Source organism: Homo sapiens, chromosome 17 (assembly GCF_000001405.40).
Source record: "Homo sapiens chromosome 17, GRCh38.p14 Primary Assembly".
Taxonomy (NCBI): domain Eukaryota; kingdom Metazoa; phylum Chordata; class Mammalia; order Primates; family Hominidae; genus Homo; species Homo sapiens.
In genome coordinates, this window is record NC_000017.11 from 8,190,947 (window position 1) to 8,204,237 (window position 13,291).

The following is a 13,291-nucleotide window of genomic DNA, read 5'->3' on the forward strand; positions in this document are numbered from 1 at the left end:
AAAATACCTCTTTGGTGAGACTTTTAACTAAAAAGAACCAAAAAGACGCAGCCACCCCCCAGGCAGAGAGAAGAAAACTTGAGCTACCTCTCAGAGACAAAGAAGTCTTGACGTATTCAAGAAACTGAGGTGAGGGGGCAGGAGACATTGGGACTAAAACAAAATCAGCAAGATAAGGGGAAGGATTTCGAGCCAAGGAGCTGAACAGGCAGCAGGGGCCACGTCATGCAGGGGGCCTTGTAGTTCCTGTTAGGGAATGGAGATTTCCTCTAAATGCAATGGTGCAGCGACATTGGAAAGGTTGTACATTGCAACACATAGCCAAAGCTTGGAGACATCAGTATTTTTATTTATTTATTTATTTATTTATTTATTTATTTATTTATGTATTTAGAGACAGAGTCCCACTCCGTCACCCAGGCTGGAGTGCAGTGGCGCGATCTCGGCTCACTGCAACCTCCGCCTCCTGGGTTCACGCGATTCTCCTAACTCAGTCTCCCGGGTAGCTGGGATTACAAGCGCCCGCCACCACGCCCGGCTAATTTTGTATTTTTAGTAGAGATGGGGTTTCACCATGTTGGCCAGGCTGGTCTTGAACTACTGGCCTCAAGTGATCCACCCGCCTCGGCCTCCCAAAGTGCTAGCATGACAGGCGTGAGCCACCGTGCCCGGCCAGACATCAGTATTTAATAAAAACAGTTTGCTAACTCTCCTTAGCTGACAAAGGATGTGGTTGTTTTTTCCATTTGGATAGAGAGATGTCTTGAGGCAGTGTCATGCCAGCATTCAGAAGTGCAACTCCCCAGAACTTCCCAGCACTACTATCCCCAGGTGCCTGCCGGGGTCCTAGCCAGCCAACCCTAATGATAGTAGCTCAATCTTTCACCACGCCTGAGGAGTCCACAATTGTCAGCTGTCTGTATCTTATAGTCACCTGCAGCTTGACAAAACCTGTCATTCCTTTGCTCTAAAAAAAAAAACCTAAAAAGCTCATATATAATTGGGCTGGGTAGGTAGATATTCTTTAGAAGATGGGAGGACTTCCCTTGAGAATGGGAAGCTGAGCACAGGAAGAGAGTGATGTGATGGGATTCATGTTTAGGGATTACTGGCTGTTGTAGAAAATGTTTGCAAGGGAGACGGTAGACCAGTGAGGAGGCGGTTCCAAGTACCAGGTGATAGTAGCTCAGCCTAGCACGATGTGGATGGATGCATTCTAGATGTATCTTGAAGGTTTTAGCGGACAAATGGGCTACCCACCGTCTCTCTGTGTAGGGGAAGCTCCTCACTCCTCAACTCCCCATTCCCTGATGTGTTGGTGCAATGACAGCCAGGAACAGGCACGTGACCCAAAACTGGCCAATTAGAGTACTTCATCCTTCTGACTGCAGATTGGCTCAGGGAAGGGCACATGACCCAATGTATGACCAGTAAAAATCCTCCACAGTGTTGTTTGTTTCTAGCTTTGTGGAGAGTGTGAGACGCCTTTCTGTTCTCTTGAGAGCTCAAGCTGGGTATCAGCTTGTCCATCTTTCATGTCCAGGAGATCGCTGTCTGTAGAAGGAAAGAATGAGGCTGATAAGGAAGAGAACCAGAGACAAAAGATGAAGAGGCATGAGTTCTGAGAGCGTTTGAATTCCTGTGCCAGCCTGAAGATAGCCCCACCTTTATCCTTCCTGTGATTTGGTTCCTTGCCCCACCCCTATCGCACCACCTCCCCCGCAAAACCTTGTTTCTTCCTACGGTGACTTCTGTCTCAGTAAGTGGCAACTCCATCTTCCCAGTGGCCAAGGCCAAAAACCCTGGAGTTGTACTTGACTCCTCTTTCTGTCATAATCCATGGCCAATCCTTTAGGAAATCTTGTTGGTTCTGCTCGAAAATACATCCAGAATCTGACCACTTCTCATCCTTACCATTGTTTCTGCCCTGGTCCAAACCACCATCATTTTTGGCCTGGATAAATGAAGTTGCTTCCCGAATGGTCTCACTTCTTCTACCCTCACCTCTCTCTACAGTCTATTTTCAATAGAGAACCAGAATGATCCTTTAAAAATGTAAATTATCAGCAGGGCGCGGTGGCTCACGCCTGTAATCTCAACACTTTGGGAGGCCGAGGTGGGCGGATCACGAGGTCAGGAGATCGAGACCATCCTGGCCAACATGGGGAAACCCCGCCTTTACTAAAAATACAAAAACATTAGCCCGGTGTGGTGGCGCGCACCTGTAATCCCAGCTAATCTGGAGGCCGAGGCAGGAGAATCACTTGAACCCGGGAGGCGGAGGTTGCAGTGAGCCGAGATTGTGCCACTGCACTCCAGCCTGGCAACAGAGCGAGACTCCGTCTCAAAAAAAAAAAAAAAAAAAAAAAAAAAAATTAGCCAGACATGGTGTTGCACACCTGGAGTCCCAGCTACTGTAGAGGCTGATGCGGGAGGATTGCTTGAACCCAGAAGGTTGAATCTGCAGTGAGCTATCATCGGACTATTGCACTCCAGTCTGGGCAACAGAGCCAGACCCTATTTCAAAAAAAGAATTAACTGATTAGGTTAAGAGTTATGCTCCTCCTGGAGCTAGGGATGGGTCAGTTCCTTCCAAATTCAAACAGTTGCGACATAATGGGAAGGCAGGAGGGGCTGTCAGGAGGCTACCACAGTGTCCACTACAGTGGGGTTCAGCAAAGTATAGCCCAAGGGCCAAATCCAGCTCAACACCTGTTGTTATACGGCCATGAGCTAAGAATGCTTTTATGTTTTTATTTGTTTGTTTGAGACAGAGTTTCGCTCTTGTTGCCCAGGCTGGAATGCAGTGGCGCAATCTCAGCTCACTACAACCTCTGCCTCCCAGGTTCAAACAATTCTCCTGCCTCAGCCTCCCAAGTAGCTGGAATTACAGGCATGTGCCACTACGTCTGGCTAATTTTGTATTTTTAGTAGAGATGGGGGTTTCACCATATTGGTCAGGCTGATCTTGAACTCCTGAGATCAGGTGATCCATCTGCCTCAGACTCAGTGCTGAGATTAAAGGCGTGAGCTACCCTGCCCAGCTGTTGAAAATAATCTAGAGAATATGAAAGTTGGCTGGGCACAGTGGCTCACGCCTATAATCCTAGCACTTTGGGAAACCGAGGCGGTTGGATCACTTGAGGCCAGGAGTTCAAGATCAGCCTGGCCAACATGGCAAAAGCCCTGTCTCTACAAAAAGTACAAAAATTAGCTGGGAAGCCGGGCGTGGTGGCTCACACATGTAATCCCAGCACTTTGGGAGGACGAGGTGCGCAGATCACCTGAGGTTAACAGTGCCAGACCAGCCTGACTAACATGGTGAAACCCCGTCTCTACTAAAAATACAAAAATTAGACGCGCATATTGGCGGGTGCCTGTAATCCCAGCTACTCGGGAGGCTGAGGCAGGAGAATCGCTTGAACCAGGGAGGCAGAGGTTGCAGTGAGCCAAGGTCGCTCCATTGCACTCCAGCCTGGGTGACAGAACATTTCATCTCAAAAAAAAAAAAAAATAGCTGGGCATGGTGATGTGTGCCCATAGTCCCAGCTACTCGGGAAGCTGAAGCACGAGAATTGCTTGAACCCAGGAGGCAGAGGTTGAAGTGAGCCAAGGTCGCTCCATTGCACTCCAGCCCGGGCGACAGAACATTTCATCTCAAAAAAAAAAAAAAAAATAGCTGGGCATGGTGATGTGTGCCCATAGTCCCAGCTACTCGGGAAGCTGAAGCACGAGAATTGCTTGAACCCAGGAGGCAGAGGTTGAAGTGAGCTAAGATCACACCACTGCACTCCAGCCTGGGCAACAGAATGAAACGCTGTCTCCAAAAAAAAAAAAAAAAAAAAAATTCAGAGTCTATAAATTTTTATTGGAACACAGCTATGTTCATTCACTTATGTATTGTCTTTTTTTTGTGTGTTGTATTGTTGTTGTTTTTTGAGACACAGTCTTGCTCTGTTGCCCGGGCTGGAGTGCAGTGGCACCATCTCAGCTCACTGCAACCTCCGCCTCCCGGGTTCAAGCGATTCTCTGCCTCAGCCTCCTGAGTATCTGGGACTACAGGCATATGCCACCACACCCGGCTAATTTTTTTATCTTTAGTAGAGACAGGGTTTCACCTTGTTGGCCAGGCTGGTCTCAAACTCCTGACCTAAGATGATCTGCCCAAAGTGCTAGCATTACAGGCATCAGCCACAGTGCCTGGCCTCCAACAGCATTTTATTTTATTTTGTTTTATTTATTTATTTATTTTGAGACGAAGTCTCACTCTGTCGCCCAGGCTGGAGTGCAGTGGCATGATCTCGGCTCACTGCAAGCTCTGCCTCCCGGGTTCATGCCATTCTCCTGCCTCAGCCTCCCCAGTAGCTGGGACTACAGGCGCCCGCCACCATGCCCGGCTAATTATTTGTATTTTTAGAAGAAACGGGGTTTCACCGTGTTAGCCAGGATGGTCTCGATCTCCTGACCTCGTGATCCACCTCGCCCCACCTGGCCCGCCTCAGCCTCCCAAAGTGCTGGGATTACAGGCGTGAGCCACTGCGCCCAGCCCCCAACAGCATTTTAAAATATTATTTTTAGAAAGTAAAAATTTCTATGTAAGGGCCAGGCACGGTGGCTCACATCTGTAATCCCAACACTTTGGGAAGCCGAGGCCGGTGGATCACCTGAGGTGAGGAGTTAGAGACCATTCTGGCCAACATGGTGAAACCCTGTCTCTACTAAAAATATAAAAATTAGCTGGGTGTGGTGGCGCATGCCTGTAATCCCAGCTACTCGGGAGGCTAAGGCAGGAGAATCACTTGAACCTGGGAGGTGGAGGTTGCAGTGAACGGAGATCATGCCATTGCACTCCAGCCTGGGCAACAAGAGTGAGACTCCATCTCAAAACAAACAAACGAAACAAAACAAAACAAAACAAGATGTCTATGTATATTAATGCAATTGGGAACAGCCCATGTTATACGTAAGAAATGACTGTTATTTCCATCTTAAAGACTCACAAAAGGCCAGGCGCAGTGGCTGGCTGGGTGCCGTGGCTCACGCCTGTAATCCCAGCACTTTGGGAGGCCGAGGCAGGTGGATCACTTGAGGTCAGGAGTTCAAGGCTGGTCTGGATAACATGGTGAAACCCTGTCTCTATTAGAATCGCTTCAACCCAGGAGGCGGAGGTTGCAGTGAGCTGAGACAGCGCCACCACACTCCAGCCTGGGTGACAGAGTCTGTCTCAAAAAAAAAGACTCACAAAAATACAAAAATAACTTGGCCAAGGTCACATGGCTAATAAGCAATGGTGAAGGAATTCAAAGTGAGACATGCTGACTCAAAGTGAAAGCTCGATCATCCACAGGTCTCACCCCTCCATAGGCCACAGTAGGGGTGGGGGTCAGATTACCCACCCTCAATGTTGCCAGTGCCCACATTACTTCACAGAAGTAGAGAGAAGTTATCTGCCGACCTATCAGGGGAACAAGCAAGGCTGGATATCTTTTCTGCTTTCTTTTTTTGGCATCATCCATTCAGTGGGAAGGTAAGGTGATCATCAAGTCCCAAAAATGAACAAATGCCCCAGTCAGCTATGCTCAGCATTTAGAAGAATGTCAACTAGGACAGTTTTCTCCCCATACCCCAGGGCATCAGCCCTTGTATTGTCTGTAGGGCTTGTTGAGTGGGATGGGGGTGGAATGCAGGTTTTATGTGGCATGTAGAATTATGCCATGGTTTTACATTACATTTGGGGATGGCTCTTGCTCTGGATACTTGGAATTTTCACGTGTGAGGAGATGATGTCTTTGTTTTCTTTTCTTTTTTTTTTTTGAGATGGAGTTTCCCTCTTGTTGCCCAGGCTGGAGTGCAATGGCCCAATCTTGCTTCACTGCAACCTCCACTCCCGGGGTTCAAGAGATTCTTCTGCTTCATTCTCCCAAGTAGCTGGGATTACATGCACCCGCCACCACGCCCGGCTAATTTTTTTTTTTTTTTTTTTTTTTTGTATTTTTAGTACAGATGGGATTTCACCATGTTGGCCAGGCTGGTCTTGAACCCCAGACCTCAGGTGATCCACCCGCCTCGGCCTCCCAAAGTGCTGGGATGACAGGCATGAGCTGCCGCGCCCAGCCGAGGTCAGAGCTTTAGTGATGGAAGTGGAAGAGCAGTTACAGAGGAGCATCCATTGGTGGGGAAGGACCAGAACTCTTAGGGAAGGGCTTCTGAACCCCTCAGAACCACCTGGGGAGTTAAAAGCGACATGGATGCTCCAGCCTCAACCCAGATCAATGAAATCTGAATTTGTTAGGGCAAGGCCTGGGAGTTTTTTGTTTTTTGGTTTTTTTTTTTTTGAGACGGAATCTCGCTCTGTCGCCCAGGCTAGAGTGCAGTGGCACGATCTCAGCTCACTGCAAGCTCCGCCTCCTGGGTTCATGCCACTCTCCTGCCCCAGCCTCCTGAGTAGCTGGGACTACAGGCACCCACCACCACGCCCAGGTAATTTTTTTTTGTATTTTTGGTAGAGACAGGGTTTCACCGTGTTAGCCAGGATGGTCTTGATCTCCTGACCTCGTGATCCGCCCGCCTCAGCCTCCCAAAGTGCTGGGATTACAGGCGTAAGCCACCGCGCCCGGTCTCCTATTTTCTTTTTAAGTCCTTCAGATGTTTCTAATGTGCAGCCATTGTTGATAACCCCTGAAGATAGGACCTTGCCAGCCATGATAAGGAGTTTTGATTTTATTGTAAATACACCGAAAAACCAAAGGAGGGTTTTGAACAGAGGAATGATATGCTCTGACTTTGACTGTTGGGGGAATGGACTCTAGGAGGCAGGAACAGAAGAAGCAGAGAGAATAGTTAGGAGGTTGTTATCACCCAAGCCAGAAAGGATGGTGACTTGAACCAGCATGAGAGTGATGGGGTGTGTGTGTAATAAAGGTGGGCCTCTCCATGGATTTGGTTGGCAATAGGAAGAGTTGGAAGATCTGGGGAGGTGAGGAAGAAAAAAGAGAGAAACCAGGAATGATTTCTAGGTTTTTGACCCAAGTAACTGGGTGCTAAATGATAGTGCTATTGACTGAGATGGGGAAGTTACAACTTTTTTGATTGGGTGGGCACTGAATTAAGAATACTATTTTAGGCCAGGCGTGGTTGCTCCCGCCTGTAATCCCTGCACTTTGGGAGGCCAAGGTCGGGGGATCACCTGAGGTCAGGAGTTCGAGATCAGCTTGGCCAACATGATGAAACCCCCGTCTCTACTAAAAATACAAAAAAAAAAAATTAGCTGGGCATGGTGGCGTGTGCCTGTAATCCCAGCTACTCAGGAGGCTGAGGGAGGAGAATCGCTTGAACCCGGGAGGCAGAGGTTGCAGTGAGCCGAGATCATGCCACAGCACTCCAGCCTGGGCAACAGAGCAAAACTCTGTCTAAAAAAAAAAAAAAGTACTATTTTAGGCATGCTTACTTTGAGAAGCCTATTAGATTGCCAAGAATGTGTTAGTCTCAAGCTTGATAGGGACGTCAAGGTGAGAAATACAAATGTGGGAGTCGTATTTAAAACCACGGGCTGGGCCGGGCACAGTGGCTCACGCCTGTAATTCCAGCACTTTGAGAGGCTGAGGCGGGTGGATCACCTGAGGTCAGGAGTTCAAGATCACCCTGGCCAACATGGTGAAACCCCTACTGAAAATATAAAAATTAGCTAGGCACAGTGGCACGCGCCTGTAATCCCAGCTACTCGGGAGGCTGAGGCAGGAGAATTGCTTGAACCCGGAGGGCGGAGGTTGCAGTGAGCTGAGACTGTGCGACCGCACTCCAGCTTGGGTGACAGAGCGACTCCATCTCAAAAATAAAATAAAAATAAAACCATGGGTTTGGCACAGTGGCTCAAGCCTATAATCCCAGCACTTTGGGAGGCCGAGGTGGGAGGATCGCTTGAGCCCAGGAGTTCAACACCAGCCTTGGCAACATAATAAGACCCCATCTCTACAAGAGAAAAAAAAATTACCCGGGTGTGGTGGTGTGCACCTGTGGTTCCAGCTGCTCCAGAGGCTGAGGCAGGAGGATTGCTTGAGCCCACAAGTTCAAGGCTGCAGTGAGCTGTGATCACACCACTGCACTTGAGCCTGGATGACAGAGTGAGACCCTGTCTCAAAAAAAAAAAAGAAAAAGAAAGAAAGTCGCAGCCAAAGATTTCATATTTGATACCCAGATTCTTGTGTTCCTGGAAACCAAAGTTTCCAGTATCTGAGAAGTTAAGAAAAAATAATTCATACTCCCATACCTTTGGACCTTTCTCCAGGATTTCTTCTGCCTTGGCCCCTGGAACTGTGCAGTCAACAGTAATCTTTTCATTTCTCCTGAAAACAAAAGATCTGACAGTGCATCTAGTTTTGGAAAACACAGGGGTCTGGCCTGTGAGTTGCTCCAACACCTTGGCTGCCTGTGTCAGTCTGTCGTCACTCTTCTCCACACAGATATTGAGGCAGAGCTTACAGATATAAAGTTGGCCTGAGCCAAACTCCCTGGCCTATTTTTTTTTTTTTTTTTGGATGCTAGATGTTTGCATGGTGATGAGACTTATCCAGCCAAAAAAAAAAAAAGGATATATAGATATAGATATAGATATAGATATGTGTGTGTATACACACACACATATATATATATATATAAATGGTAGAAAAGCGAAAGGGGACAATTACTGGAATGAAGTTGTTGAATAGTAGGAGGCCTGGGTTCAGAGTATATCTGGAGGGGCTCCCTGACAGGACTTGAGAAGGGGAAAGACAGATAATAGGTGAACAGAGGTAACTTGGGGCAATTGGTGATTGGAATGTACAAGACCCCTGTTTGGTTCTGCTGTTTCTCAGAGAAGAGGGGGTATCACTAGTGTGGGAGCTGTGGGGAGCTTTGGTGTTTTCGGGAGTAGAAAAGCCAATATATTGGGGATGCTTTGTAATGTTAGAGTAGGTAGACATGAAGGCAGGAAAGAGGGCCTCCAGGTATGCTGGGCATTTGTCAAGCCATGGTCAAGCGATTAGAAATCTGTCCCTCTGACATAATGAGCACGAGAAGGGAAGAACCCCCAAGCTGGTTCTCATCGAGTGAAGGACCGGCAGGCATACAACCATCCGTCTGAGATAATAAGTGGCCATCGCTGGTGCTGGGAGTAAGAGGAGTCTTGCAACAGGAGTTAGCAAGCCATCACCCCTATAAGGTTTTAAGTATGTGCAGTGAAAAAAGAAAATGGTTGAATTTGATCGGTATCTAACCTTCCTGTGGGGGCTCTGGACCAGAAAGGGCGAATTGCCCCTAACGAGCATGCGCTGGACTTCGGTGAACACTGCGCATGCGGTCCCTCCCAAACGCCGGCAGGCCACTGCGCATGCGGCAATTAAGCCACAGCCCGCTCAAGGGAAGAACATAAGGAGGAGACAGAGAGTGCGGGAAAACGTAGGGGGTGTAAAATCTCTAAACATGCCGGGCGCGGTGGCTCACGCCTGTAATCCCAGCACTTTGGGAGGCAGAGGCGGGAGGATCACGAGATCAGGAAATCGAGACCATCCTGGCTAACACAGTGAAACCCCATCTCTACTAAAAATACAAAAAATTAGCCGGGCGTGGTGGCGGGCGCCTGTAGTCCCAGCTGCTCGGGAGGCTGAGACAGGAGAATAGCCTGAACCCAGGAGGCGGAGCTTGCAGTGAGCCGAGATTGTGCCACGGCACTGCAGCCTGGGCGACAGAGCGAGACTCCGTCTCAAAACAAAAAACAAAAAACTCTAAACAAAGAAAAGGAAGGGGCGCTTGATTTTTCAAGTCTCCAGCCTTGTCCTCTTCTAAGTGTACTGTCTTGTAATAAACTCTCACTTGGCTTAAAATCAGTTCTCCCTTCTGCCTTAAACCTTGCCTTTGGCCGGGTGCGGTGGCTCACGGCTGTAATCCCAACACTTTGGGAGGCCGAGGAGGGGGCGGATCACGAGGTCAGGAGTTCGAGACCAGCGTGGGCAATATGGTGAAACTTCGTCTCTACTAAAAATACAAAAATTAGCCGGGCGTGGTGGCGCGTGCCTGTAATCCCAGCTACTCGGGAGGCTGAAGCAGGAGGATCGCTTGAACCCAGGAGGCGGAGGTTGCAGTGAGTCGAGATCGCGCCATTGCATTCCAGCCTGGGCAACAGAGCAAGATTCCGTCTTGAGAAAAAGCAAAAACCTTGCCTTTATCTCGTTTGAATTCTTGCCCTCGAGAAAACAGAGGAGAGAGGTTGCTGCAGAGTTGCAACTCCGGAGTTTCCCGGATAGCTGCAGGCTTACCCGCAGGTAACAGTAGAAGTAGGAGTCAGCGTTAAGGCTGTGGGAAAATAGGTGTCCTTCATTATTGCCGGTGGGAGTGTAAACTGTCCACCACTTAGAGGGGCATTTTTGGTGATATCTATAGACCGTTTACCTGCGTGTACCCAGCATTACCACGTCTTTCTCTAGATGCTGGTACTCTCCATTGCCATGTCTTTCTTCAGATGTCCCCTAGAGGACAACTAGAGACCATCACAAAGGTGCACAGGAGGCACTCAAAAGACACTGGCCACAGTGCAAAGCATTGGAAATAATCTGCATGTGCATCCAGTAGAAGAGCTTTAAAAAAAACCCTAGGGATATCCTTATTAAAAATTATAGGCTGAAAGGCCGGGCGCGGTGGCTCACGCCTGTAATCCCAGCACTTTGGGAGGCCGAGGCGGGCGGATCCCGAGGTCAGGAGATCGGGACCATCTTGGCTAACATGGTGAAAACCCCGTCTCTACTAAAAAATACAAAAAAAAAAAAAAAAATTAGCTGGGCGTGGTGGTGGGCGCCTGTAGTCCCAGCTACTCGGGAGGCTGAGGCAGCAGAATGGCGTGAACCCAGGAGGCAGAGCTTGCAGTAAGCCGCGATCGTGCCACTGCACTCCAGCCTCGGTGACAGAAGACTCTGTCTCAAAAAAAAAAAAAAAAGAAAGAAAGAAAATTACAGGATGGGTGAAGTGGCTCATGCCTGTAATCCCAGCACTTTGGGAGACCCAGACGGGTGGATCACTGGAGGTCAGGAGTTTGAGACCAGCCTGGCCAACATGGTGAAACCCATCTCTACTAAAAATACAAAAATTATCTGGGCGTGGTGGCACATGCCTGTAATCCCAGCTACTCGGGAGGCTGAGGCAGGAGAATCGCTTGATCCTGGGAGGTGGAGGTTGCAGTGAGCTGAGATTGTGCCACTGCACTCCAGCATGAGTGACAAAGCAAAACTCCGTCTCAAAAAATAAAAAATAAATAAGCACCCCGCCCATTTCTTTCTCCCTAGAGATAGCCAGTTCCAAGTCTTTTCACTGTTTTATTTTGATTTGCTTTGGGTATTTACCATACTTTTTTTTTTCTTGAGGCGGAGTATCACTTTGTCGCCAGGCTGGAGTGCAGTGGCTTGACCTCGGCTCACTGCAACCTCTGTCTCCCGGGTTCAAGAGATTCTCCTGCCTCAGCCTCCCTAGTAGCTGGGACTACAGGCACACACCACCATGCCCAGCTAATTTTTGTATTTTTAGTAGAAGCAGGGTTTGACCATGTTGGCCAGGATGGTCTTGATCTCTTGACCTCGTGATCCGCCCGCCTTGGCCTCCTAAAGTGCTGGGATTACAGGCATGGCCTACTGAGCCTGGCCTACCATACATTTTTTTTAAGTTGTTAAACAACAGTCACGTATATTTTATTTTTATTTTTTTAATTTTTACGTTCTCAGGGTGTACAAGTACAGATTTCTTTTTTTTTTTTTCAAAAGGAGTCTTGCTCTTGTTGCCCAGGCTGGAGTGCAATGGCGTGATCTCAGCTCATTGCAACCTCTGCCTTCCGGATTTAAGCAATTCTCCTGCCTCAGACTCCCAAGTAGCTGCGATTACAGGCGTGCACCACCACACCCGGCTAATTTTGTATTTTTTTAGTAGAGACAGAGTTTCACCATGTTGGTCAGGCTGGTCTCGAACTCCTGACCTCAGGTGATCCACCTGCCTTGGCTTCCCAAAGTGTTGGGATTACAGGCCTGAGCCACCACGCCCAGCCCCTACCATACGTTTTTAAATCACATGCTTCCGTTGCTGCTTCTTAAGTTTTCAGTTTTAGGCATGACCTGTTTTTTTCCTGCTATAAAATTCAAGGAATTCACTCTTCCACCCCACTGCCACCATAATTTTGGTTAGATTTATTCATTTGACAGTAGTTACTGAGTGTCCTCTACATTCCGGGTACTGTTCTAGAGGCTTGGTGTAAAGCAATGAATTAAGAAAAAAAAAAAAAAATCAATCAATCCTGCCAGGCGCAGTGGCTCACGCCTGTAATCCCAGCACTTTGGGAGGCCGAGGTGGGCAGATTGCTTGAGGTCGGGAGTTCAAGACCAGCCTGGCCAACACAGTGAAACCCCGACCCGGTCTCCACTAAAAATACAAAAATTAGCCAGGAGTGGTGGCACATGTCTGTAATACCAACTACACGGGAGGCTGAAGCAGGAGAATCACTTGAGCCCGGGAGGCGGAGGCTGCAGTGAGCTGAGATCACACCACTGCACTCTGGCCTGGGCGACAGAGCAAGACTCTGTTTCAAAAAAAAAAAAAAAAACTTGTCCAGGCGTGGTACGCCTGTAATCCCAGCACTTTGGGAGGCCGAGGAGGGTGGATCACCTGAGGTGAGGAGTCCGAGAGCAGCCTGGCCAACATGGTGAAACCCCATCTCTACTAAAACTACAAAAAAATTAGCCAGGCTTGGTGGCGTGCGCCTGTAATCCCAGCTACTTGGCTGGCTGAGGCAGGAGAATAGCTTGAACCTGAAAGGAGGTTGGAGGTTGCGGTGAGCCAAGATCGGGCCACTGCACTCCAGCCTGCATGACAGGGTGAGACTCCGTCCTGCTGTGTAGCCAGGCTGGAGTGCATTGGTGCGATCTGGTCTTGCTGCAGCCTCCACCTCCCGGGTTCAACCGATTCTCCTGCCTCAGCTTCCTGAGTAGCTGGGACTACAGGTGTGCACCACCACGCTCAGCTAATTTTTGTATTTTTAGTAGAGATGGGATTTCACCATGTTGGCCAGGATGGTCTCGATCTCCTGACTTTGTGATCTGCCTGCCTCGGCCTCTGAAAGTGCAGGGATTACAGGCATGAGTCACTGCGCCCAGACTTAACTGTTTTTTTGTTTTTGTTTTTTTTTTTAAAGACTCTGAGTAAACTATGAGTAGAATAGGCCCTGTTTAACCTGATAAAGGGTATCTATCAAAAACCTACAGCAAGCATCATGCATAACAGT

At 48.5% G+C, this 13,291-nt stretch overlaps 1 long non-coding RNA gene across 1 annotated transcript, besides 4 other annotated features; it reads right to left on the bottom strand.

The window, feature by feature from the left end:
* Positions 1–328: 328 nt before the first annotated feature.
* LOC124903913 (uncharacterized) lies at positions 329–9,282 on the bottom strand. The gene is made up of 2 exons (XR_007065604.1): positions 8,267–9,282; positions 329–1,554 (listed from the first exon to the last, which is right to left on the bottom strand). It is a non-coding gene; the product is annotated as an uncharacterized LOC124903913 (long non-coding RNA).
* Positions 1,511–1,610: an enhancer, noted in NCBI's record as "active region_11682". NCBI's record gives its function as "activates an Ori minimal core promoter by ATAC-STARR-seq in GM12878 lymphoblastoid cells {active_cell/tissue: GM12878}" and the evidence as "EXISTENCE:reporter gene assay evidence [ECO:0000049][PMID:35858748]".
* Positions 5,081–5,390: an enhancer, noted in NCBI's record as "active region_11683". NCBI's record gives its function as "activates an Ori minimal core promoter by ATAC-STARR-seq in GM12878 lymphoblastoid cells {active_cell/tissue: GM12878}" and the evidence as "EXISTENCE:reporter gene assay evidence [ECO:0000049][PMID:35858748]".
* Positions 8,990–9,479: an enhancer, noted in NCBI's record as "nonconserved acetylation island sequence 72". NCBI's record gives its function as "activates a minimal heat-shock promoter by reporter assays in Jurkat T cells {active_cell/tissue: Jurkat}" and the evidence as "EXISTENCE:reporter gene assay evidence [ECO:0000049][PMID:17135569]".
* Positions 12,753–13,253: an enhancer, noted in NCBI's record as "H3K4me1 hESC enhancer chr17:8107017-8107517 (GRCh37/hg19 assembly coordinates)". NCBI's record gives its function as "activates a minimal SCP1, AML or CMV promoter by ChIP-STARR-seq in primed H9 embryonic stem cells {active_cell/tissue: H9 hESC(primed)}" and the evidence as "EXISTENCE:reporter gene assay evidence [ECO:0000049][PMID:30033119]".